A 24,802-nucleotide genomic window follows, 5' to 3' on the forward strand; every position below is an offset into this window, starting at 1 on the left:
GTGAAAGAAAATCCTTAACCTGCACATGTTATAATAGAGGAAATACTTATTCCTATTGAGCATGCACTATAGGCATGACATTATCTAGGTGTTTTGGACACTTCAGTGAATAAAACAAAGATCTATACCATTATGGAGCTTTTATTCTAGCAGAAGAAGACAGATAATAGACATGATAAATAAGTAAATTGTGTAGTTTGTTAGAAGTTGAAAGTTTCCATGATAAAATGGTAAGATTGATGAAGAGTATAGGCATGGTTGGTTATGGGGGACTTATTATACATTTATACACAGTTGTAAGGAATTAACTTTATTGAGAAGTTGAGATTTGCACAAAGACTTGTTAACCAATGTCATTAGAGAAGATCTTTAAGAGAGAAGAGATGAAACAGCTAGAGTGTGAACAGCACATGGACAACAAAGGTGAAGGGGAAAGGAAGCTATCTTAAGAAGTATTGCATAGACTTTTATCCCCTTCTCAAGATTTGTGAAATAATAGTAATAAGACTGAGTAATTTGAAATTATGTTCTATTGCTTTATTTTTTTACCCTGACACCTCCAAGACAAAGTCCCATGACTCATAACTTTACAAATCTTAGAACAATGTGAATAATAATAATAAAATCCCTACAATGTTCCAGGTCATGTTTAAGGTACTCACTCACTATTAATTCATGTAATTATATCAACATATGAGGTAGTCACTTTTTTGTACATTTTGCAGATGAGAAAACTGACATACAGAGAGGTTAGGTAATAGCAACAGGATAGCCTGGATGTATGTGTGAGCAGGATGCCTCTAGTTCAATGCCCGTACCCATCTGGTTGAAGTGGAGCTCCAATAACTGGCAATGCTTCCCTAGTTCTAGATCTATTTGATGAAATAAGATACTTTGTTGTTTCCCATAAAACACAGACCAGTTGGAATAGCTCCTTGACTCTTTTTCAGCCTTGGTCATTAATTCCAAAGTAGTCATAAATTCCAAACTAGAAAATAATAATACAGCTAGTTCAGGTGTTATTGACACAGAAGGAATTGATTATCAGTATTACTTAGATTTTGCTTTCCTCTTACGTTATTGTGTGTATTCTTTTATAAATTTGGTTTTAAATATTCTCTTGTGTTTTTCTCCCATTTTACCGCCCTCTACTTTGCTCTTATTGCTACTCTACCTCACCCAAATCTGTTCTATCCTGGCTTCCAAACATGAAGACAATAGTATCACATAGGATTATATGAGCAGAAACACAGTGGCTCATTGACTATTGACTACTTTATGTTGGGGACCAGATGGAAAGACATCCATGGAAGTAGCATTGATTGATTATCCATTCTGAGACAGGAGCACCCTTCTCCTGTGTCCATAGGATCTCACTTCCACTGCATCTTCAACTTCTTCTCTGAAGCTGAGGGTCATCTTCTTGCTCCCTGCTCTTTTTCCCCTTAGGCTACTGCTTCCCTAGCATCCTTGTCAAGAGGGGGCTGGTCCTTTCCTCTACCTCTGGAATCTCCTCTTCTGATGATGAGGAATGTCCTCATTGCCTCTTCCAGAAATTTCTAATTCTGTCATTCCTAAAATTATCAGTTTCAAAAGTTCTGTCATATGATTCTACAACCAACTACCCTTACATCTATAGCACGTGGGTTCCTCCTTGCTGCTTTTTGAATATTTTAATCCCTTGTTCATTTTCAAGCCTCTTTGACATGTCTATTTTTATTCTTATGACTTTTATGTACACAGGACTTACCAAAATGACTCAAATTCTTGACCTTATATTCCAAGACATTATCCATTACTCCATGTCAGCTACTCACTGACTAAGCCTTGAGATTATCAATAACTGTAACCCTTTCATAGTCTTAATTTCAAGACTTCCACTTTTTGACCACCATCTCATTTCTCTCTAGTTTGCCCCTTTACTATCCTGACACCAGCAATCATTCTATCCTAATAATTTTACAATGTGTTGTTTCTGCCATTTTTCAGGCTCCTGCTCCTCACATACATCCTCTTTTCTCATCTTACTCAGCTGAAATTGCACGTGCCATCATGATCACTCTCTAATCTTCACCTTCCCTTAATTTCTTCACTTTGTTGTACTCAGTTGTCAAAAAATGAATAAAAATAAAAATATGTACCCTAGATAATTTGAACTCTATCTACTCTATATTTTACATTAATAGAGTTGAATGTAGCAAACCCAAAAAATCTTGCTGATTAATCTCACTTTAAATTAATGGCCACGAACATTAATTGGGGTGGTGAGAGCTGTCTAGAAACAAATGCGTTCATTTCCCTAGTATATACACATTTGTATTCTAGATGACCATTCCATACCATCTCCTCTTTCATAAAGTCTACAGTACCTCCTCCAATTCTTCACGTCAGCTGATAATCTTGCTCTTATTTAACTGACAAAGGAGAAACAATAAAAGTTGCAATACTGAAGAGCATCCCCAAGCTGCTGTCTCACTTACCCGCTGTCTACTTCAGCAAAGCTTAGTGAAGGAACTCTTTATCCTTGTGTTTCAAAACCAACTCCTCCATTTTTTTTTCTTAAATCTACTCTGGATAGGCCCTAATCCACGTCACTAGATGTACTCCAATCAGAATCAACAATGATATCCATTTTGCTAAATTATATGGTCAATTCTCAGTCTTTCTCTTCTTGGAGCAAATCAACACTATCTGTATTGCTAAAGAATATTTTCACATTGCTTTTGTCATACAACACTCTCTTCTCCTTCCCATAAGTTTATACATACAAGTTCTATCAAACCTTCACAGGACAGATGATATGAATGCATGTACATTGTCCTAAAAAATAAAAAAGAAGGGCTAAAACTTCTCAATGTACTTTAGGAAACTAATATTACTTTAATTTTAAAACTGGGTAAAGGCTATACCAGTAAAATTATAGGTAATCTCTCATATAAAAAATAGGTCTATACATGCTAAAGATAATAATAGTAAACTTAATCCAATGCACAAATATATTTATGTATATAACTTATATGTTAGTATATATTATATATTATTATATATGATGTTATATATATATCATATATAATAACCAAGTAAAATTTATCACAGAATTTGTAAAATATTTTTATATTATAAAATGTATTCATAAAACATACTATTTCAACAGACTGATAGAGAAAAAATGTATCCTCATTTCTATAGTTGCAGAAAAATGTTGACGCAATTTAGCAATCATTCAAGTTTTTAATTCAACAAAACTTACTTAACACAAAGAGGTATTGTTCAGAAAATTGGAGTAACATTAGACTTCAGAATGGAATATTAAAGCATTCCCCTTATAATCAGAAAAAAGATAAAAATAGCTACTATCACTATGTTTATTTCAATTACACATTTTAGTTGAGGCTCTACTCAACAAAATGTTGAGTTCTCTTCTTGAGAAGAGAAAAGCAGCTAAAATTTTATAAGGACTAGAGTGGGGAAATAACATGCATATGATTTGTAGATAATATGATTATCTATAAAAATCAAGGAGCAAACCAAACTCATAATTTGCCAAAAGCAAGTTCATGTTCAAAATTAAGGATTTTCTTACACACAAGAAAGTACAATCAGTATATTAAAATGTAATTAAGAAAAAAATTACCTTATTTATAACAAAAACAAAAACCATGAAGTGTATATATAAATTGACAAATAACCAAACCATCTTAAATTGTGCATTATATATAAAGACTTTTACAGGAAAAACAAGAAAATGTAGAAAAAGACCTAATTAAAAGGTGTATATAGAGGGAGTCAATAGCTTAATGATGGCTATTTGTTCCCAACTCACCTTATGAATTCAATGCAATTCCATTCAAAATTTTAATGGCTTTTTTTACAGAACTTCACAAGCTGATCTTAAAATCTTAATAAAAAGTTAATAAGTGATCAATAACTAAGTCAGTTTTTAAAAAAGAGAATAAGTTTGCCATTTATCAGGATTTTATATAAATCTGTATCAATAAAAACAGTATGATACCAGCACAGAGACAGTCAATGAACCAATGTAATAATGTAACAGGAAAAAAGGATGAAATTGGATTTGCCTATCACACTTTATATGTTAGTAATTTGCAGATAGATTAAAGACTTAAACATAAATATTATAATTGTGTAATTTTAAAAATAAAATAGAGAAGAATATCTTTATGTAGTGACAGTAGGAAAGATTTTGTAGATGAGATATAAAATGTACAACCAAGAACGAAAAACTGGACAAAATCGACTTCATTTAACCGTATGTTTAACAAACATACCACATTCAAAGTTAATAGACTAACCTACACATGCAGAGAAGATATCTACAAATTATATAACCAGTTAAGGACTAGTTTCTGGAATATATGAATATGTCTACAAACCAGGAATTAAAGAGAAAAATAAAATGAGAAATGAGCAAAGAGAATGAACAGTCAGTGCATTGAATAAAGAATCTGAATGTTTGATCAACATATACAAATGTTCAACTTTAAAAGTACCAAAGAGATTATAAATTAAAACAAAAACCAAATGCCATATCATACTCATTAGTTTGAAATGTTATGTCTGATGTCCCCAAATATTGAAAACAACATGGAAGAAATAAAAAAATATTACTAATATAATGTAATTACAATAATAATGTAAACTATTTAGAGAACCATGTAAAATATTTTAATGGAACAAAAGAATGCCTATCCTATGACCAACTTTCTAGGTATCAATAATAGAAAAATTGTCACAAATATTCACCAGGACACTTATAAAGCATATTTTTTACAGAGCCTTGGTAATAGTGAAAGTTTACACACAAACCGAGTTAGTTTTTGGGGCACTGGTAGACAAACAAAAATGCTATATTTATCTAAATTTGTACTAAAATTTCTTTTATAATGAACCAAAACAGCATTGTTAAAATGAAAATAAAAAACAGTGTTCTGTTTCTTAAGATGATTGATGAGTATGCATTTGTCCATTTCATATTTTTTTAAATGTATACATATGTAGATAACACAAGTTTGAAAAGGATTTGAGTCTGGTAATAGTCAAAGCAGTAGTCACTGCTGGGGTTGGGGGTATTAACTTACTTGCAGGGGGTACAAGAGAGCCTTCTGAGATGTTTGTTAGACATTGTTTTAAAAATTTTAATCTGGAGGCTAGCCCACAGGGGTGTGGAGGGTGTGTTTATGTGTGTGAATTTTGAGGGAATTTTGTGCATCTGAATGAGAGTACAAGTACTGAAAGTCTTCAACATTCTGGAGAGGGGAAAACAAGAGAGAAGTCAGACCAGCCACATCCCACCATTTAGCTCTGCTCATTCCTACCCTGTTTCTGTTGATGGTCATTGCCTTCCTGAGGGCCTCTACATGTATGGATTTCTTAGAAAATCTTTCTATATCAGCTGCTGCAATTATTCTTTTTATAAAAATATGATCTCTTTCCTAAGTGTCTGCCATGTTGCAGATTTCTACTGCCAACTGCTAAGCATGTCTCTATGCATCCTCCGCTGGGTCTTTATAGCTCAGAGGATCTAACTAACTAATAAACATTTTTAGAATGGATGCATGGATTTTCTTACCTGAAAACAAACATGTTCTTTCCAGAAGTGTATAACAAGGACATATAGGTTTACCACCCAATAGTTGAATGTCTTTTCTACATTCCTGTCTAGTGGGTTAGGTGTGTCATTTTGTGTATTTTAGAGAGGGATAACTTTACATCTCTTAAACGAAATCATCTTTAGATCTAGCGGTTAGAATATTCTTTATGTTAGAGTCAAAAATATAATCTCAGATTCCTCAGAGCCACATGATGCCATGTATATTTTCAGAATACCTAACATATGTTAAGTTCAACAAATTCAGTTGAGCATTTACTAAATGACTATTGTTTAAAAGAAGCACTTTGTTGAATGCTAGATCCACATTTTGTTTCTACATAATAAAATACCTAAATAAAATAGACTAAAATAATCTGAATCAAATAGACAAAAATGTAAATGCTAATAAAAGTACAAAAGCAACTTTGAGTTCAATTATAATTTTACTGTGAGGCATTCAAGACCAGCCTGGGCAACATGGCAAGACCCTGTTGCTACAAAATAAAATAAATATATAAAAAATAAAGAACATTATAAGTTTGATGAAATGCAGTATACCCTGTTTGAACAAAGTAAGACTGCAACATGCAAAGCAATTCTGTTGTCCTTCAGGCTGGCCACAGCAATTGATATATGTTTTTTTCTTGATATATTAGCTTTCAGAAGCTTTTTTAACACAGAAATATTGTCTTATGCATGATGAAAAAGAGAAAAATAGGTGAAAACATGTTAAAGTAAAATGGAAACCCAAGTTTAGCAGACTTAAGAAATTTATTGACAGTGCCAAAGAATCAATAAAATGAAAGACTCATTTGAAGAGAGGAAGAAGATTTTGAGAGAAAAAAATATTCTTCTTGCTTGATTTAAAATACTTTCTTAAGAAAGCCATCACAAAGTATGTAGATTGTATTAGATTTTTCTTCTTGCTATGCTATTTTTAAATTATGGAATATGATTCTTCAGTGGAAAAATAAAAGGAATTTAGATACAAATGGATAGGCATTGTGAATATGTTCTAAGTAGTGAAAGCCTAGTAATTATACATTCAGAAATGTAATAGGAAAATTATGTTTGTTATAATTATATTATTATACATACAAAAAAATAACATAATACACAATACTATTTTCCTTAAATTTCCATGTCCTCCACTTTATGTCAGTTTCAGAAAATGATATAGTATCAGGGCTGAGAAGACGTCATAAATGAAATTTCCCACTGGACCACTGGAAAATGGAACTTCATCTTTTCAATCTTTGTATTTCTATAGAACTTGATGTTAACTTAAATTTAACTATAATACCTAAAATGTGCTGGTTGCTTCTATTTTGTAGAATAGTGTTTAAAAAAAGAATAAAATAGTAAGATTTGATAAACTTGTATTCATTTTCCTGTACTTTTTTTATCTAATGAAAGTCTTTGTGATACTATGATCAGATAGTATCTCAGTCTCTAACTATTGTACAGTTAGAGATACTGAGATCATAGTTAGAGATACTATATGATATTAATCTGAATATCATATAGTATCTATCTCAGTCTGTAACTACTGTACAGATAAGAGATGATAGTGATAAAACATTAGAGCAATATTTTACATTAAAAATAATTTATCTATATTGAAATTGTGCTGTTGGAGCCTGCAATAACTTAGGCACCTTTCTGAGCTGTTTCATTGATTTCAGAGAAGAATAACTCTGCATTTCCCAAACCAGGACATCTTCAGATCTAAGTATATTCTTCTTCATGTTAGTGCCCCAAACAGTAATCAACCAAGTTTCATTCTATTCTCTACACCCTATCAGCAAATTATTTCCTTATCCTTGAGTTTCACATCCACTATACACAATAAACTATACTTAACATATCACCCTGTGGTAGTCAGCATATTCTCTCTGTTGCTATTGTAAATGTAATATGGCTCCTCTAGCTACAGACAAAAATATGGGTACAATAGAGTTTGCTTTTATTTCCTGAGATAACATTTCTAGTTTCCTTTGAGCCGCAACTAGTGAAAAGCCATTATTTTAAAGATTTCTAATGTTTCAGTGTCTTTATTCATAAAACTAATTTAGCGTTTTCATTATCTCTTCACATTTTTCAGTTAATAATCAATGATATAATTTGCTTATAACTGAATTATCTATATATGTATATATTTGCAAGGAAATATATATATATTTCTAAGGATATATATTTGTAAGGAAATATATTTGTGTATGTGTAAGGAAATATGTACATATTTACAAATATATTTATTTGTAAAGAAATATATATATATATATTTGTGTATTAGTCTGTTTTCACACTGCTATAAATATACCACTGAGCCTGGGTAATTTATAGAAAAAGAGGTTTAATTGACTCACAGTTCCTCATGACTGGGGAGGCCTTAGGAAACTTAGAGTCATGGCAGAAGGGGAAGTAGGTACCTTCTTCATAAGGCAGCAGGAAACAGAGAGCACGTGAAGGAAGCAGAGGGAAAAGAGGCTTTTATAAAACCATCAGGTCTCATGAGAACTTACTATCACTAGAACAGCATGGATGAAACCATCTCCAGGATCAATCACCTCTCCCAGGTCTCGCTCTCTGTAATCCCCTAGGGATTACAATTCAAGATGAGATTTGGGTGGGAACACAAAGCTTAACTGTCATTCCATCCCTGACCCCTCCCAAATCTCATGTCCCTTTCACATTTCAAAACCAATCATGCCTTCCCAATAGTCCCCCAAAGTCTTAACTTGTGATGGTTAATACTGAGTGAGTGTCAACTTGATTGGATTGAAGGATGCAAAGTATTGTTCCTGGGTGTGTCTGTGACAGTGTTGCCAAAGGAGATTAACATTGGAGTCAGTGAACTGGGAGAGGCCGACCCACCCTCAATCTGGGTAGGCACCATTTAATCAGCTACCAACATGGCTAAGATAAAAAGCAGGCAGAGGAAGGTGGAAGGACTAGACTGGCTGAGTCTTCCAGACTTCATCTTTCTCCCATGGTGGATGCTTCCTGCCCTTGAACATCAGACTCCAAGTTATTCAGCTTTTGGACTCTTGGACCTACCCTAGTGGTTTGCTAGGGCTCTCAGGTTTTTGGCCACAGACTGCAGGCTGCATTATCAGCTTCTCTACTTTTGAGGTTTTGGGATTCAGACTGGCTTCCTTGCTCATCAGCTTGCAGATAGCCTATTGTAGGATTTCACCTTGTGATTGTGTGAGTCAATACTCCTTAATAAACTCCCTTTCATATATACATTCATCCTATTAGTCCTGTCCTCCTAGAAAAGCCTGACTAATACATAACTAATTCCAGCATTAACCCAAAAGTCCAAGTTCAAAGTTTCATCTGAGACAAACTAAGTACTTTCTGTCTAGGAACCTGTAAAACAAAAGCAAGTTAGTTACTTCCAAGATACAATGGGGGTACAGGCATTCTCTCAGGTTTATTGAACTGAATCAACTCCATAGGGTACAATAAGAAAATAGTTTTACTTTTCTCGACAACTGCCTTTACCACTAGTTTGGGAAATTTCCCTTTCCTACTCTTTTTTTTTTTTTTGAGACAGAGTCTCCCAGGCTGGAGTGCAGTGGCGCAATCTCGGCTCACTGCATGCATCCTCTGTCTCCTGGCTTCAAGCAATTCTCCTGCCTCAGCCTCCCCAGTAGCTGGGATTACAGGTATGCACAAGCATGCCAAGCTAATTTTCTTGTATTTTAGTAGAGATTGTGTTTCACCATGTTGGCCAGGCTGGTCTCCAACTCCCGACTTCAAATGATCTGCTTGCCTTGGCCTCCCAAAAGGCTGGAATTACAAGTACAAGTGTGAGCCACCGCACCAGGCCCCCTTTCCTACTCCTAATGACAACTCATGGAGAGCCATAATTTTCTGTTTACTTTCACATTAAAAAAAAAAAAAACCTAAAAAAGTATCCAGTCCTGTGCAGTTACATTTCCTCATCCCATCTTTCTCTCTCCCACAACTTCTCTTTCTCCTCACATCATGCTTTACCCTTTCTCTGAGGGCCTGCACATGCTTTGCTGTGGCTCGAGGAGGCTGCATGTGCCTTGTCCAGGTGCCAGGGCCCTGCACTGGGAAAGCACACATGCCTAATTCTACTCTTCACTGTGTTGTAATGGAGAGAGGAAACTGGGGAGACAGGAGTGGTTGTGTCATTCCAGCTACCGTTTGTAGATGGAGACACTCTACTAATTCCACTCTAGCAGGGTCTGTTTTGTCTTGTTCCTAGTAGCTTCAGTTGGTGTGATGGTTTCCATGTAGACAGCATGGCTGGGTTTCCTGTGGGTAGTGTTTTCCTTTACTGCAGGCTCCAGCATCATAAAGGACTTCCTTAGGCAGAGTCACATTGCCATCCTCAGTCCCTGCGAGTAGACCTTGCTCTTAGCTCCAATTCTGGGTGAAGAAAACCTCTCTCTTTGGCAGCCACCTATGCAACCTTTTCTTAGGCCTATTCTGTGACCTTTGTGCTCCGTCAGATGGAACCACAGAAACCATCACTCTGCTTTCCAGCTTTCCAAAGGCCATTTAAAACTGGGGAAGCTATGGGATTCTCATTCTTCTAGATCCTACTTGTCCTGGTAATGTTAGCTTCTTTAGCAAGCTTCCCACTGCCAGAATTTTGCAGCTAACTGGCAGATACTAATGGCCACATCTATGTACCAGAACCAAATTGCAAGGAAGTAGTCATGTTTTCTTGAGAATGTCCTGACCACACTCTGATGTCAACACCAGGGTGAAGTCCCTGACCACACTCTGATGTCAACACCAGGGTGAAGTCCCTTGATTCTTTAGCCGCACGCCCCAAGCAGAAAGTGAGGTACATGTCACCCTTCCTGCTACGCCCCTCTCTTCAAACCTCTTGACAATACACATAGGTGGGTTGTGTGAGTAAAATATTCCATTCCCCATGGAAAGAGGAAAGGGCCACCACATATTTATTGACACTAAGAATAATTGGAATGATTTTTTCTTTCCTAAATTGTCTGCCTATAGAGATAGAAGGAATTTCTGGGTTGAGGGTAACAGCTGGGTTAGCAAAGCCATTTTTGTCAGTATCTTCAAAAGATCCAAGAGTTATCTTTTCCCTTCCTTCAAAATGACAAAATTATCAAGCTTTTCTTGTTTTGAGTCTACTCAGCATCACATTACACGGCATCACTTGAATACCTAAAATCTTTGTGAGCAAGTTGACGGTACGTCTGTAAGACTGACTAGGTGACCATATCCGATCATCAAATATATCTTCTGGTCTGCCTGACAGGGTATTTCTATAGAGAGACGGATGCAACATGCTACCACAGCTCCATGACAGGTGCTCTGCAGCCATTCAGTTCACTCCCTTTGCTCTGTCAGCAAGCTCAATAAACTCTTTTTTCTCCAAATATGACCTTCCCTGTAGATTTTTCTGGCCACCAATAATAAAAAATTCCACTCAATTATACTTCTCAGAGTAATTTTTGTGATGCTTTTCATTTTTTCTAATCATTATTCAGACTGCCTATACAACCTCCGTGTTAATTTATTTTCCCCTTATTTACCAAGAATGGTCTCTCCTTTAGGGTTGTTGTTATTCAGTTAAACAAAGCAAAATTGGCTTCTCAAAGAAAGTATACAGAAAACTGTTAATAAATAGTCATTACTACCATTTACACAGACAGAAAGATTTTTCAAAGAAGCCTTGTTTATATTAATAGAGCTCTCTATACATGACGAACAAGTTAGGCATGTTTCTTATATAGTTGCTTTATATAGACAATATTTTATGAACACTCCCTACATTTACCTTCCAATATGTATTTTTTAAAAAACTAAAATACTCAAGGCAATATATAAACATTAGGAAAAGTTGAAGCCTATTTCTCTGCTCTCATTTGCAGGTCCTTGGTATATCAAACTCTAAAATAAATTTCCACTGGTACTTTGGCTTTTAATAATATAAAATTAATTATTATAATGCTGTCTTACCAAGAAAATGAAGTTTCAATTATATCTTTTATAGATACATACTTTGCAAATGTGCTTAGACACAGAAGAAAGTGGTGCTCTATCCAGTTTAAATAGAGTACAGTCATGCGCTGCATAACATTTTGGTCAATGACAGACTGCACATATGATCATGGTCCCACAGGATTATAATTAAGCTGAAATATTCCTATTTCCTAGTGACATTGTACAGCGTTATGCATATTTACATGTTTGTGGTGATGCAGGTATAGACAAACATACTGCACTGCCAGTCACACTAAAGTATAGCACATAATTATATACAGCACATTATACATGATAATGATAGTAAGTGACTATGTGTTCCTAGTCATGTATTTGTGACATATCTTTTATTGCTATTTTAGAGTGTGCTCCTCTTACTTATAAAAAAAATAGTGAACTGTAAAACAGCCTCAGGCATGTCCTTCAGGAGGATTCCAGAATAAGGCATTGTTATCATAGGAGATGACAGTTCCATGCATGTTATTGCCCCTGAAGACTTTCCAGTGGGACAAGATGTGGAGATGAAGACAGTGATACTGATGGTCCTGACCCTGTGTAGGCCTTGGGTAAGTGTGTGTGTCTTAGTTTTGAACAAAACATTTTTAAAAAGTAAAAACATTAGAAATTAAAATTAAAAATTTTTAAAAAGTAAAAAATTTAAAAGCTTCTAGAATAAGGACATAAAGAAAATATTTTTGTACTGCTGCACAAGCATTTGTATTTTAAGCTATGTATTACAAAAGTATCAGAAAGTTAAATTTAAAAGTTTATAAAGTAAAAAGTTATAGTAAGCTAAGGTTAATTTCTTATTAATGAAAGAAAAATATGTTTTATAATTTTAGTGTAGCCTACATGTGCAATGATTTTAAAGTCTACAATAGTGTATGGTAATGTCCTAGGCCTTTGCACTCACTGACTCACCCAGAACTTGCAGTCATGCAAGCTTCATTCATGGTGTGTGCTCTGTGCAGGTGTACCATTTAAAAAATCTTTTATATCATATTTTCACTGAATCTTTTATATGTTTAGATATGTTTACATACACAAATACTTGTGTTTGTGTTAAAATTGTCTGTGGTGTTCAGTGCAGTAACATGCTGTACAGGTTTATAGTCTATGAGTAACAGGTTATACCATGTAGTCTAGGTATGTAGTAGTCTATACCACCTAGGTTTGTGTAAATACACTCTGTGATGTTCATATAACAATGAAATACCCTAATGATGCATTTCTCAGAAGATATCCCCATCATTAAGCAATGCATATCTGTATAAGTATCTAGCCAATCACTTTATCGACACAGAAAGACACAGTGATTTCATTACTACAATTTTAGTGATCACCTTCTGTTTAAAATCTCAAAAGCTTTAGCAGGAAAGAACAGGTCAACAATAACACACACACACACACACACACACACACACACACACACACCAACAATAATTGCAGTAGCACCAACCAGATAGCTAGTTAGAGGCAATAAGGACAAACTGCTTATACTCTACTTCATTAGACCTTAATAAAGGTGATAAGAGACATGAATGCCATTGCGGTAATTTCTCCCTCCCTTTATGTAACACTATCCCTGCTACTTGTTTCTACCTTCCTCAGCAGATTCTAATGTAGTTATAGAGTTACAATACTAGACAATATTGACTGACTGCATTTAACCGACAATCTCTATTACTCAGGGGTTAGAAGTTAAAAAACAATCATCTGTATCAGTGATTTCGGCAGAAGATAGCTGCTGAATCATATAAGGCTTTTTAAAGGAGGAGAATAAATTCTTAGCTATATTACAATCCAAACACTATCATGCAATCATACGACAATCCTTTCTTTCTAAAAGAAACACTGGATCACAGAGGATTTATGTTTGCAAAAGTATGATATATATTTTAAAACATCATTTAATATGTTTTCATTTAGATTAAAGTTTTAAAGGGAATTATCTGCCATCAGTGTTGTTTCTCAATCAATAAAAATAAAATAATTCTTACAATTATTTGTTGGCAGTGATTTTTTTATGAAATAGGTCTCTATGTTTAAAAAAGTCATTTTTCAAATTTCTAAGCTTGTAAATAGGTGAATTTAAAAAATGTATACATAAAGCTATTTTGGGGGAATTAAAAGGTATTTAAAATTCAAGATGATAGATACCTGTTTTAAAAACCTCCCTTGAAAATTTTTGTGCTGTGACAAATCTGTTTTTATTATGCAAATGATGTTTCATTTATCTGCTTATACCTTTTGGTGATGTTTATAATTTAGCATTAGCAAATAGTTTTTTAAAACACATCAGCTCATGCCTTTCTTCACCCTTTCTTTAACTTCTTTCCATCAAAAAAGAAAAGAAAATGCAGACTACACCATAATGTGATAATACAACCTGGTTTTCCCCACCTTCATGAATCATTGCTTTACTACATGTGTGAGTGCTGTTTGAAACGCTGGGAACACTATTTTTGCAGTCATATGGACCTCTGATAATCACCTGCAGGTCTTATGGCTTCAGCACAGTCTTATGTTGTGGTAATGAAACATTTCAATCAGACAAAGAAGAATTTGAAGAAAATAAAAAAGATTTTCCTGGCAACATTGACATTTACCTAGGTGCGAAAATGGTATACAAGTCACCCTGGCACCTTGAAAATTCAGATACCACATTCTGCAGTTTTGCCTTGCTGAATGCTTCTTTCTCAAGTCCATGCATATTAAAAACAGAAAAGAGAGAGAGAGAAAGAAAAAGTAGAAAGAAAGTAATTCATTCAAGTGGTAAATTACTCTTCCTGGAAAAAAGACTTGAATTTGACCAGTATACAAATGAGATGTGGAATCACAGACATAGAATTTTTTTTTTTAATGAATTTCTTCATGTTCACTTGACAGAGACTGATCCCTGCAGTTGTAGGGTATATTCATTTTCCACTTCTTATGCCTCAGGAATTCCCTCTATTCACTTAGAATTAGCTTAGTAGAAATTTCCAAGGGAAGTTTTGGATTTTCCATTAAAAAGTTTCCATGTTGACTTTAGAAAACTAAAAAGGCTTAACACAATCATTTTAATGTTTTTCTGCTGAGAGTGTTGAAGTCTCTCTATAGGGTTTTTATGGGAATGAAAGCCACCAAGTATAAATAATAGATGCAGCCTGAGCCAGCCGTGAATACTAAATCTATCATGACATTAAAATTCAAAGTTAAAGGGTTAAATATTAGTATTCAAACCTTTAAAACATCATTTTAAAGTTTAAATTTATAAGTTTAAAATTTTTTGAAAAAACTCAAGAATATGTCAGAGGCGTTTGAACCAGAGCAACTCCATCTTGAATAGGGACTGGGTAAAATAAGGCTGAGACCTACAACAAGTCACAGGATGAAATGGGAGGTCAGCATAAAATACAGGTCACAAAGACCTTGCTGATAAAACAGGTTGTGTTAAAGAAGCCAGCCAAATCTCACCAAAACCAAGATGGTAACAAAAGTGACCTCCGTTCATCTTTACTGCTCATTATCTGCTAATTATAATGAATTAGCATGCTAAAAGACACTTCCACCAGCACCATGACAGTTTACAAATGTTATGGCAATGTCAGGAAGTTACCCTATATGGTCTAAAAGTAGGATGAAACCTCAGTTCTGGGAACTGCCCACCTCTTTCCTAGAAAACTCATGAATAATCCACCCCTTGTTTAACATATAATCTAGAAATTGTTATAAAAATAGCCAACCAGCAGCCCTTATGGCTGCTCTGCCTATGGAGTAGCCATTCTTTAATACCTTACTTTCTTAATAAACTTGCTTTCACTTTACTTTATGGACTCACCCCAAATTCTTTCTTGCATGAGATCCAAGAACCCTCTCATGGAGAACGGATTGGGACCCCTTTCTGGTAGAAATATAAGAAAATAAATTTTAAATTATAAAATAACATCTCTTTCTAGTGAAGACCACTGTATCCTTTTGCTGTTTTGATGAATATTATATGCATACACACAAATATATGTATGATTGATACTGTTTTCCTATTAAAACTAGATCCATATCAAGTGCATTAAAAATATGTTTTAGATTTAATGAATTTTTTCTATATTAAATGTATGAAATCATTTTAATATGCACATAATATTCTTAAATGTATTTTTCTCCTATTTAACTTTGTTGCCTAATCTAATTATACTTTTATATAAATCTCTGGCCCTATGTCTTTGGAAAACATTTCAAATAAAGCATAACATCTGGTAGTGTCAAAGAAAAATTGCACCAGACGAGTTAAAGAGGTAAGGAAGACTTTATTCAAGATGATTGCAGTAGGGCTGAAGAGAAATAAAGGGAGAGAGACTGAACCCAAATCTATTGAAACACAAAGCCAGAGAGTTATTAAGGCTAGGATGAGCTACTGAAAAATTATTGGTAACAAATCTGCATTTGTTCCTTCTAAATAAATTTTTTAAAAATTGGAAGATTTTAGGGAAAAAATTTGTCATTGTGATTAGGTTATCTGTGTTCTATAATTGGTACTAATGGAAAGCAGGCTCCTCCCCTCCCACAGAAAGGAGAGAATAGGAGCACTGTCTTTCTTGATGATCACATTTCAAAAGGACAGTTCCAAGGTCCACATGAAAAAGAATCCTGGGATGTAAAACCATCAAGAAGCTAAAAGAAGATTTATATCTCAAAGTCACAGAGAAAGAATTTGGTTTCAAGTTTTCTAAAGTAAATGCTCTAAGGAAAGGAAGATCAAAGACCAGAGAAGAAACCTGTGTACAGTGTAGTCAAGCCAAGGGGAACTTTTAAGGCCATCTTGCTCAGTAACAATCTAATCTATATTGTGAAATTGAACATTACATTTAAGTATTTTCCGTATAATTTATGTGCTAAATCATGAGCATCAGAGTGATTGAAGTGAATATAGAAATGTATAATGCCAGGAAAAATTATGCAGTCTGTTGATGAAAAGTGTCAAGCTCTGTAAAATATTTGAAGAGAATTCTTCTGAGCCAAATATGATTGACCAATGGACTGTGACGCAGCCTCAAGAGGTCCTGAAAACATGTGCCCAAGGTGGTCAGGCTACAACATGGTTTTATACATTTTAGGGAGACATAAGGCATCAATCAATGCATGTAAGATGTACATTGGTTGGGTCTGGAAAGGTGGGACAACTTGAAGTGTGGAGAGGGACTTCCAGGTCATAGGTGGATTCAAAGGTTTTCTGACTGTCTATTGGTTGAAAGAGTTTTATCTAAAGACCTGAAATCAATAGAAGGGAGTGTCTGGCTTAAGATAAGAGGGTGTAGAGACCAAGGTTCTTATTATGTAGATGAAGCCTCCAGGTAGCAGGCATCAGAGAGAATAGATTGCAAATGTTTCTTGTCTGACTTAAAAAGGTACAGAGATTTTCTACAGAATGTAGATTTTTCCCCAAAAGAGACAGCTTTGCAGGGCCATTTAAAACTATGTCAAAGAAATATATTTTGGGGTAAAACACTTGGATTTCTATCAGGGCCTGCTGTCTATCATGTTGGTGTCGCATTATTACAAAGATTCCCTTTGTCAGTCTGAAGGTATCTTTTTTAATGTTAATACTGGTCAGCTGTGCCTGAATTCTAAAGGGAGGAAGGTAGAATGAGGCATGTCCGGCCCCACATTCCCATCATGGCCTGAACTACTATTTCAGGTTTACTTTATGATGCTCCTGGCCAAGAGGAGTCCATTCAGGTGGTTGGTGGGCTTAGAATTTATTTTTATTTTTATTTTTTTTGGTTTACAAGTCAAAACTAACATAGCTCAAATGAAATAAATGATCAGAAAGTGCTTAACCTTCTACATGAAGGAAATATGTACTACATGACATATAAATCAAGTTACAGATGAGCTTCCAAGCACAATTTCAGAAGCACAACATAAGAATGCTACAAAAATGGTTGCTGGATTAACAAGTTTCTTCAAACATTATTTAAAAGGAAGGAATTCATAAACACATTCGTTTTTATGGAAGAGACATCTCCCACTAAGCAATCAAATCTTAATAGGAAAAAAATGGTTTGTGTGAATGAAGCCATTAAAAAAATCCATACAAGGATTTCTATAATTAATTCTAGAAGATAGCATTTCAAATAAAGAAAATTTCAATGACATTTTACACATGGTAAATTAGTTAAAAAAAAAAAAAAGCCAGTTGCCTTCCAATCACCTTCTCTTTTTGTGAGAAACTCAGCAGTATAACACCTATCTCCTGTATTTTCACTCCTTATTAGTCCTGAGTTGGTTTAATCAAGATAAATAAAGTAAAAAATAAAATGAATCCTGAATGGCATTTTCTTTTTGTCTACTCCTTTCTACCCAAATGCTTTTCATTTATTAATTGAGTGTCATTGCCTCTTGTTTCCCTAGGCTTGCTACACAGATCATAAAATGTGGAAAATTTGGGTGTTTTCAGTTTAGGTGACTTTCATTTAACCATTTTTTATACTCTTCCTCCACCCCAGGCTCTGCCAATATCTTGAATGCGCATATACATGTATACACACACACACATATGTATCTGTATATATGTATATTTCAGATACAAACATATTTTCATAAGACACACATATGTAGAAATAGAGACAGTGAAGATATAGATACATAAACATATACACATAAACTATACACATATACATTTATATACACGTATATATAATGGCTTAACTATACTTTATTTATATCTATGTTTGCATTTATAGCTTAATTTTGTCCATATTGAGGGACTAAGTGGCTAAGTGGGCTGGACTCCCTGGGTCAATACGGACTTCCCTAAGGCGATTTTCCCCTAAGCCAAAATGAGTCATAGCTGCAAGCTAAGGGATTGAAACTTCAACCAATCAATGGGGACTTTCCCCTAAGCCAAAATGAGTCACAGCTATAAACTAAGGGATTGAAACTTCAACCAATCGTATAGGGGGTTTAAGCTCTAGCTGCAGCCTGATGTTTTTAACCAATCAGGCCCGCCAACCTGCAAGCAGATAGAAAATAAGCTAATCCTATAGGACAGAAAAAGGAAAAGGGGAGGAGTCATAAGTGGATATAAGCATAAGACACCTAAGCCAGAAATGGCAACCCTTCCAGTTCCCCTTCCACTGTGTGGAAGCTTTACTTTCACTTTTGCTTTACTTTGGCTTTAATAAATCTTGACCCAGCACTCTCTTTAGGTCTGCATGCTTCTCAAATTGAGCTGTAACACTCACTGCTGCGGTCCAAGCCTTCATTCTTTGAAGCCCGTGGAACCACAAACTCTTCAATTGATAAAAACCTTCGATCGGAAGAGACTTCTCATCTCATTTCTGGGGGCCTGTCCGGGATTTCTCTGAAGTGGTGAGTAACATCGGACCCCTTTTGCTTGCTATTCTGTTCTACCTTCTCACTAGAAATTGAAGGAAAACACCAAGCACCTGTCGGCCATTTAAAAGTGACAAGCCTGGCCACCAGACTTAAGACATGGGTGTGAGGCTTTCTGGGAAACGGCTCTTTTACAACCCCCGGCCCTCCAGGCTGGGTGCGTTGGTTTGCCTGAAACCAGTTCCACCTTTCTCTACCTTTACCCAGGAAAAGCCAACGGCTGGCTAAAGGTGGAAAACTGTTGTCCCGGACTCCCAGCACTGATCAGTCCAGATCATGGCACAGTGAGAAGCCGCTATGCTGCAGCCGCCCATGTGTGCATTCCCTGCCTTTTCTGACCCATGCCTCCTGGGTCCTAATGTCCTCAGAGAAAAATTTCTTGGGTCCCTGTTCTCTAGGATCTTTCCTACCCCTGAGTCTAAGAATCTTTTAGCTAGGAGTCTAAGTTGACAGGGGTGGCAATCCCAAGACCCTTGCCTATGGTGCCCCCAGGCTTATTCTTATGCAAATGGGTATCAATATACTTATAGGGGACCTGTCCCTCATAACCTACACCCTAGGCACTATCCGGGACATCAAAAGGCATTCCAGTGGCTGATAGAAGGCCTAGGACATTTTTCCTTTTGTTGCCCAAAACTTACTCCAGATTGTAGAGGCTACTTTAATTACCACCTTTCCTGCCTGGGATCAGTGATTAGAACTGTGGAACTTGTCCACTAGAAGCAGTCAGAGGTATAGGGTGAAAACAATGTAACAGACAATAGGTCCCCCGATTCAAGTCCAAAGGTCAATAAATATTCTTATTTATTGACAGAAAATTTGGGTACAAAAAGCACTGCTCCAACCTTGGTCCTCCAATTTGCCGCTGCCTACCCTAAAACTGTTGTGCTTCAGTGCCACTTTCAAGGAATTTATCTTGCTGGGAAAGCTCCAGGCCCAGAAATATGCTAATTGGTGCCTGGTCTCTGAACTCAAAATATACCCCAAACCTAAGACCTACTCGCAGATGCAAAGGCAATTGTGGGCATGCTGGTAAGGAGCCACTAAAATCCAGTAGCCCCGGCCCCCTTTTTTGTGGCTAAAAAAGGGTGGGAAACAAGTGCGGGCAAAACTGCTATGTCAGTTAAGTGCAATTAAATCTGATAAGCAGTGTTCCATGAGTGATAGTGCACCCTGGAAAGAAAAGGACACTAGAACCATAGGGGACACCCTAGGGCTAGTGCTTACTAGGGGATGACTAGGGGTGTGGGCACTCCTGTGTTCTCCTTTCAGATGGGAGGCGCTCCCTCAAAAGTGAAGCCACCCTTGAGGTATATTCTGGATAATTGGGACCAATTCGACCCTCAAACACTGAAGAAGAAGTAACATATTTTTCTGCAGCACTGCCTAGCCATAATATCCTCTTCCCGGAGGAGATCCATGGCCACCTGAGGGAAGTATAAACTATAATACCATCCTACAGCTAGATCTCTTTAGTAAACGAGAGGGCAAATGGAGTGAAGTGCCATATGTACAGGTTTTTTTCTCATTAAGAGATAACCCACAATTATGTAAAAAATGTAATTTACATCCTACCGGGAGTCCTTAAAGCTTACCCCCATACCCAGGTCTCCCCACAGCTCCCCCTAGTAAGGACTCTCCTTTGGCCCTAATGGCCCAAAAGGAACCAGACAAAAAAATAGTCAAGGAACTGAAAGGTGCCAATGGTCTCAATTGTGCCCCCTCCAAGCCGTGGTAGGAGGAGGAGACTTTGGCCCAGCACGAGTACATGTCCCCTTTCCCCTCTCAGACTTAAAACAGATCAAACCGGGCCTAGGAAAATTCTCAGATAATCCTGATGGATACATAGATGTCTTACAGGGATTAGGACAATCTTTTGATTTAGCATGGAAAGATATTACATTGTTGTTAGGTCAAACATTAACTCCCAATGAAAAAGAGGCCGTCTTAACTGCAGCCCGGAAGTTTGGGGATCTCTGGTACCTAAGCCAGGTAAATGATAAAATAACATCAGAAGAAAGGGAACAATTCCCCACAGGCCAACAGGTGGTTCCCAGCGTGGATCCCCACTGGGACCTCGATTTGTAGCATGGAGCCTGGAGTCGCAGGCATTTACTGACTTGTATACTAAAGGGATTAAGAAAGACCAGAAAAAAATCCAATAAATTAGTCAATGATATAATGCAGGGAAAGGAAGAAAACCCCATGGCATTTTTAAAGAGGCTAAGGGAGGCATTAAGAAAGCATACCTCTTTGCATCTGACTCTATTAAAGGCCAACTAATTTTAAAGGATAAGTTTATCACCTAGTCAGCTGCAGACATTAGAAAAAAACTTCAAAAGTCTTTCCTGGGCCCTAAGCAAAATCTGGAAACTCTATTGAATTTGGCAACTTCAGTGTTTTATAATAGGGATCAGGAGAAGCAGGCTGAACGAGACAGATGAGACAAGAAAAAGGCTGCCTCCTTAGTCACAGCCCTCAGGCAATAGAACTTCGGTGGCTCTGAAAGAAAGAAAGGCTGGGCAGGCAACCCACCTAACAGGGCTTGTTATCAGTGCAACTTACAGGGGCACTTCAAAAAGGACTGCCCAAACAAACATAAGCCGCCCCCTCATCCATGTCCCTTGTGCCAGGGGGATCAGTGGAAGGCACACTGCTCCCAAGGGCGAAGGTCCTCTGGGCCAGGGGCCACTAACCAGATGGTCCAACAACAGGACTGAGGGTGCCTGGGGCAGGCACCAGCCCATGCCATCACCCTCACAGAGCCCCAGGTAAGCTTAACCATTGAGGGACAGGAAACTAACTTTCTCCTGGACACTGGTGCAGCCTTCTCAGTTTTACTCTTCTGTCCCAGACAACAATCCTCCAGGTCTGTCAAATCAAAAGGGTCCTAGGACAGCCAGTCACTAGGTATTTCTCCCACCCCCTAAGTTATGACTGGGGAAACTTATTTTTCTCATGTGCCTTTCTTATTATGCCAGAGAGCCCTACTCCTTTACTAGGGAGGGACACATTAGCTAAAGCAGGGGCCATTATATACTTGAATATAGGAGAAGGAATACCGGTTTTCTGCCCTCTACTATTGTGATGCTGCTTATCTTTGGACCCTGCATTTTTAACCTCCTTGTAAAATTTGTCTCTTCCAGAATAGAATCCATGAAACTGCAAGTGGTTCTACAAATGGAGCCCCAAATGACCACCACTAGCACCTACTATCGAGGACCCCTAGACTGACCTACCAACCTGTTCTAACACCACGACACTGAAGAAGACTCCCCTCCTGAGGAACCCTCAACTGCAGATCCCCTTCTGTGCCCCAGTTCAGCAGGAAGTAGCTAGAATGATCATTGCCCAACTTCTCAACAGCACTTGGGCTTTCCTGTTGAGAGGGGGTACTGAGGCACTAAGTGGCTAAGTTAGCTAGACTTCCTGGGTCAACAGGGACTTCCCTAAGGGGACATTCCTCTAAGCCAAAATGAGTCATAGCTGCAAGCTAAGGGATTGAAACTTCAACCAATCAAAGGGGACTTTCTCCTAAGCAAAAATGAGTCACTGCTGCAAACTAAGTGATTGAAACTTCACCCAATCATATAGGGAGTTTAAGCTTTAGCTGCAGCCTGATGTTTTTAACCAATCAGGCCTGCCAACCCACAAGCAGATAGAAAATAAGCTAATCCTATGGGACAGAAAAAGGAAAAGGGGAGGAGTCATAAGAGGATATAAGCATAAGACACCCAAGCCAGAAACGGAAACCCTTCCGGGTCTCCTTCCACCACGTGGAAGCTTTACTTTTGCTTTTACTTTACTTTCACTTTAATAAACCTTGGCGCTGCACACTCTTTGGGTCTGTACGTTTCTCTAATTGAGCTGTAACACTCGCCGCTGTGGTCCACGGCTTCATTCCTTGAAGCCTGTGAGACCACGAACCCTTCAATTGAGAAAAACCTTCAATCAGAAGAAGACTTCTTGTCTCAATATCACTTCCTTCGAAAACATAATTCAAGAGTTATTCACATCATAGTTATTTTTCACTCCCCGCTAATAGGTAAAAAATACCAAGCCTTTAAGAATTTTTTTTTTATCCACACTAAGACTGTTTCATAAAAATAAATTCTAGTCTTTGTTCTTTACTGAATCTTTTAATTCTCAGATTCTAATTCCCATTTTCTTTCTAATGACAGCAGGAGTCACTTCCAATATACTAGAATTTCAAAAAGGAACTGTAACTTATAGGTAAGATTTCTTATTTCTGAACAAGTGGAAGAATAACAAAAATGATTTAAAAAAAGATTTTAAGGATACAGAGAATTTTGTGTTTTATGCTATTTCATCCAGTCTTGATTGCTATCTTTCCTTAAACTGTCTTAATAGTATAAATCTGCAATTTATGATGCAAGAAACGTAATTATATAGAGCCATAATCATCTCAAAATCATTTTCACATTCACCTCAATAGAGGGTTGCAATTTCATACAGCCGTGGAAATTAGTGTTGGCTATAGGACTAGGAGGAAGAAGAGTGACACAACTAGAAAAAGTTACACCGAACTATTAAATGTTCCCATAACATTCCATATCCAATCCCCTACAACCTATAATCTTTTCCTGGGCTTCTGGTACTTGCTTACTTGAATATGTACTAATAGGAGAATTCTGGAAAATTTATTCACTTATCTTTTTGAAAAAAAGGAAATAAAATGTATTTAGGGCCTACTATAATTCACACACATATTGTCACCTACTCTTTCTTAGAACTTCATCTATCAACACATAATGTTTAACTACATTCTCCCAGCACGCTCAGGGCAAAAAACATAGCCATCTGTACCTGTGAATGGACCATGATTGTATCCTCTTAATCTATTCTCTGCTTCTCCTCATCAGTTTACAGTCAGTGTTTGTTTGAAATGTAAAGCCTGACCATTCAACTGCCATGATTGAAGCACTCTGAAAGACTTCCATGGCCTTAGGATAAAGTTCATCCTCCTTTACAAGGAGCACAAGACCCTTAGAATTCCAGACCCTGATTTAGTCTTCATCTTATACGAGTAAGTTCCTCATAATCTATTCTTCCCCCTTTCCAGACTTTTTGAGCTTGTTTCAGTACCTCAAGGGTGTCTCTTCTCTCCTCTCTTCTGGATTTTGCATCTAAATGAGGCCAGTGCAGTGTGGACAATATCCATAAACGTAGTAGGTATGATGGTTAAGAACACAGATGCAAGAGCTAAAATGTCAGGGTCTGAGTTCTAGCTCTGCCTTTAAACATTATATAAGCTAATTATTTTTCATCGTCAGTTATACTTTCCTTATGTATAAAAATCAAAATCAAAATAATAATAATATTTTACCGCATAGGCAGCTGTCTGGTATGAGAAAGAGCATGTAAGCCACTGAGAACAATGACTGGTGCATAGTAGGTATTTAATAAGTGCTGGCTATTATTATTATAAACAAAATGCTTTGTATGAGGAAAGAAACTGGAAAGTTCTTGTTTTTCTTTAGATGAGGCAGGAAGGAGGGCTTGTTGCCTAATGTAGAATTGATGTGGAGAATCATGAATTTATACTATTAAGTGAAAAAGATCCTCTATCGGAAACAAATGTTTTCCCTTGTAGCTAATTTACTCACAGAAACAAACTAAAGGGATTCTAATTCTCCTAGTCCCATCAACATGATCATCCGGAATAAATTGTAATATCAGTTCTAAAGTTGAAAGGAGAAGAACATTTTAAGATGAGCTTAGGGGTAATCAGATCCTTCTGAAATAGGGAAAATTAAAAGGTCAATTATACTTGGAATCTTCCCAGTGCTA

The 24,802-nt window shown here is 36.6% G+C and overlaps 1 long non-coding RNA gene across 2 annotated transcripts, besides 3 other annotated features; it reads left to right on the plus strand.

Annotated features, from left to right (window-relative positions):
* The first annotated feature begins 11,976 nt into the window (after nt 1-11,976).
* On the plus strand, nt 11,977-22,830 carry LOC107986639 (uncharacterized). 2 transcript variants are annotated; one of them, XR_001744318.2, is made up of 3 exons: nt 11,977-12,180; nt 18,805-18,967; nt 22,138-22,830. It is a non-coding gene; the product is annotated as an uncharacterized LOC107986639 (long non-coding RNA). The 2 variants fall into 2 exon arrangements; XR_001744317.2 differs by lacking the exon at nt 11,977-12,180 and having other exon boundaries at nt 18,686-18,967.
* Nucleotides 18,353-18,442: an enhancer, noted in NCBI's record as "active region_24974". NCBI's record gives its function as "activates an Ori minimal core promoter by ATAC-STARR-seq in GM12878 lymphoblastoid cells {active_cell/tissue: GM12878}" and the evidence as "EXISTENCE:reporter gene assay evidence [ECO:0000049][PMID:35858748]".
* Nucleotides 21,842-23,041: an enhancer, noted in NCBI's record as "BRD4-independent group 4 enhancer chr6:115322458-115323657 (GRCh37/hg19 assembly coordinates)". NCBI's record gives its function as "activates an origin of replication core promoter dependent on BRD2, P300/CBP, MED14 and CDK7 cofactors, and independent of BRD4, by STARR-seq in HCT116 cells {active_cell/tissue: HCT116}" and the evidence as "EXISTENCE:reporter gene assay evidence [ECO:0000049][PMID:35650434]".
* Nucleotides 22,421-22,520: an enhancer, noted in NCBI's record as "active region_24975". NCBI's record gives its function as "activates an Ori minimal core promoter by ATAC-STARR-seq in GM12878 lymphoblastoid cells {active_cell/tissue: GM12878}" and the evidence as "EXISTENCE:reporter gene assay evidence [ECO:0000049][PMID:35858748]".

Source organism: Homo sapiens, chromosome 6 (genome assembly GCF_000001405.40).
Source record: "Homo sapiens chromosome 6, GRCh38.p14 Primary Assembly".
NCBI classification, from domain to species: domain Eukaryota; kingdom Metazoa; phylum Chordata; class Mammalia; order Primates; family Hominidae; genus Homo; species Homo sapiens.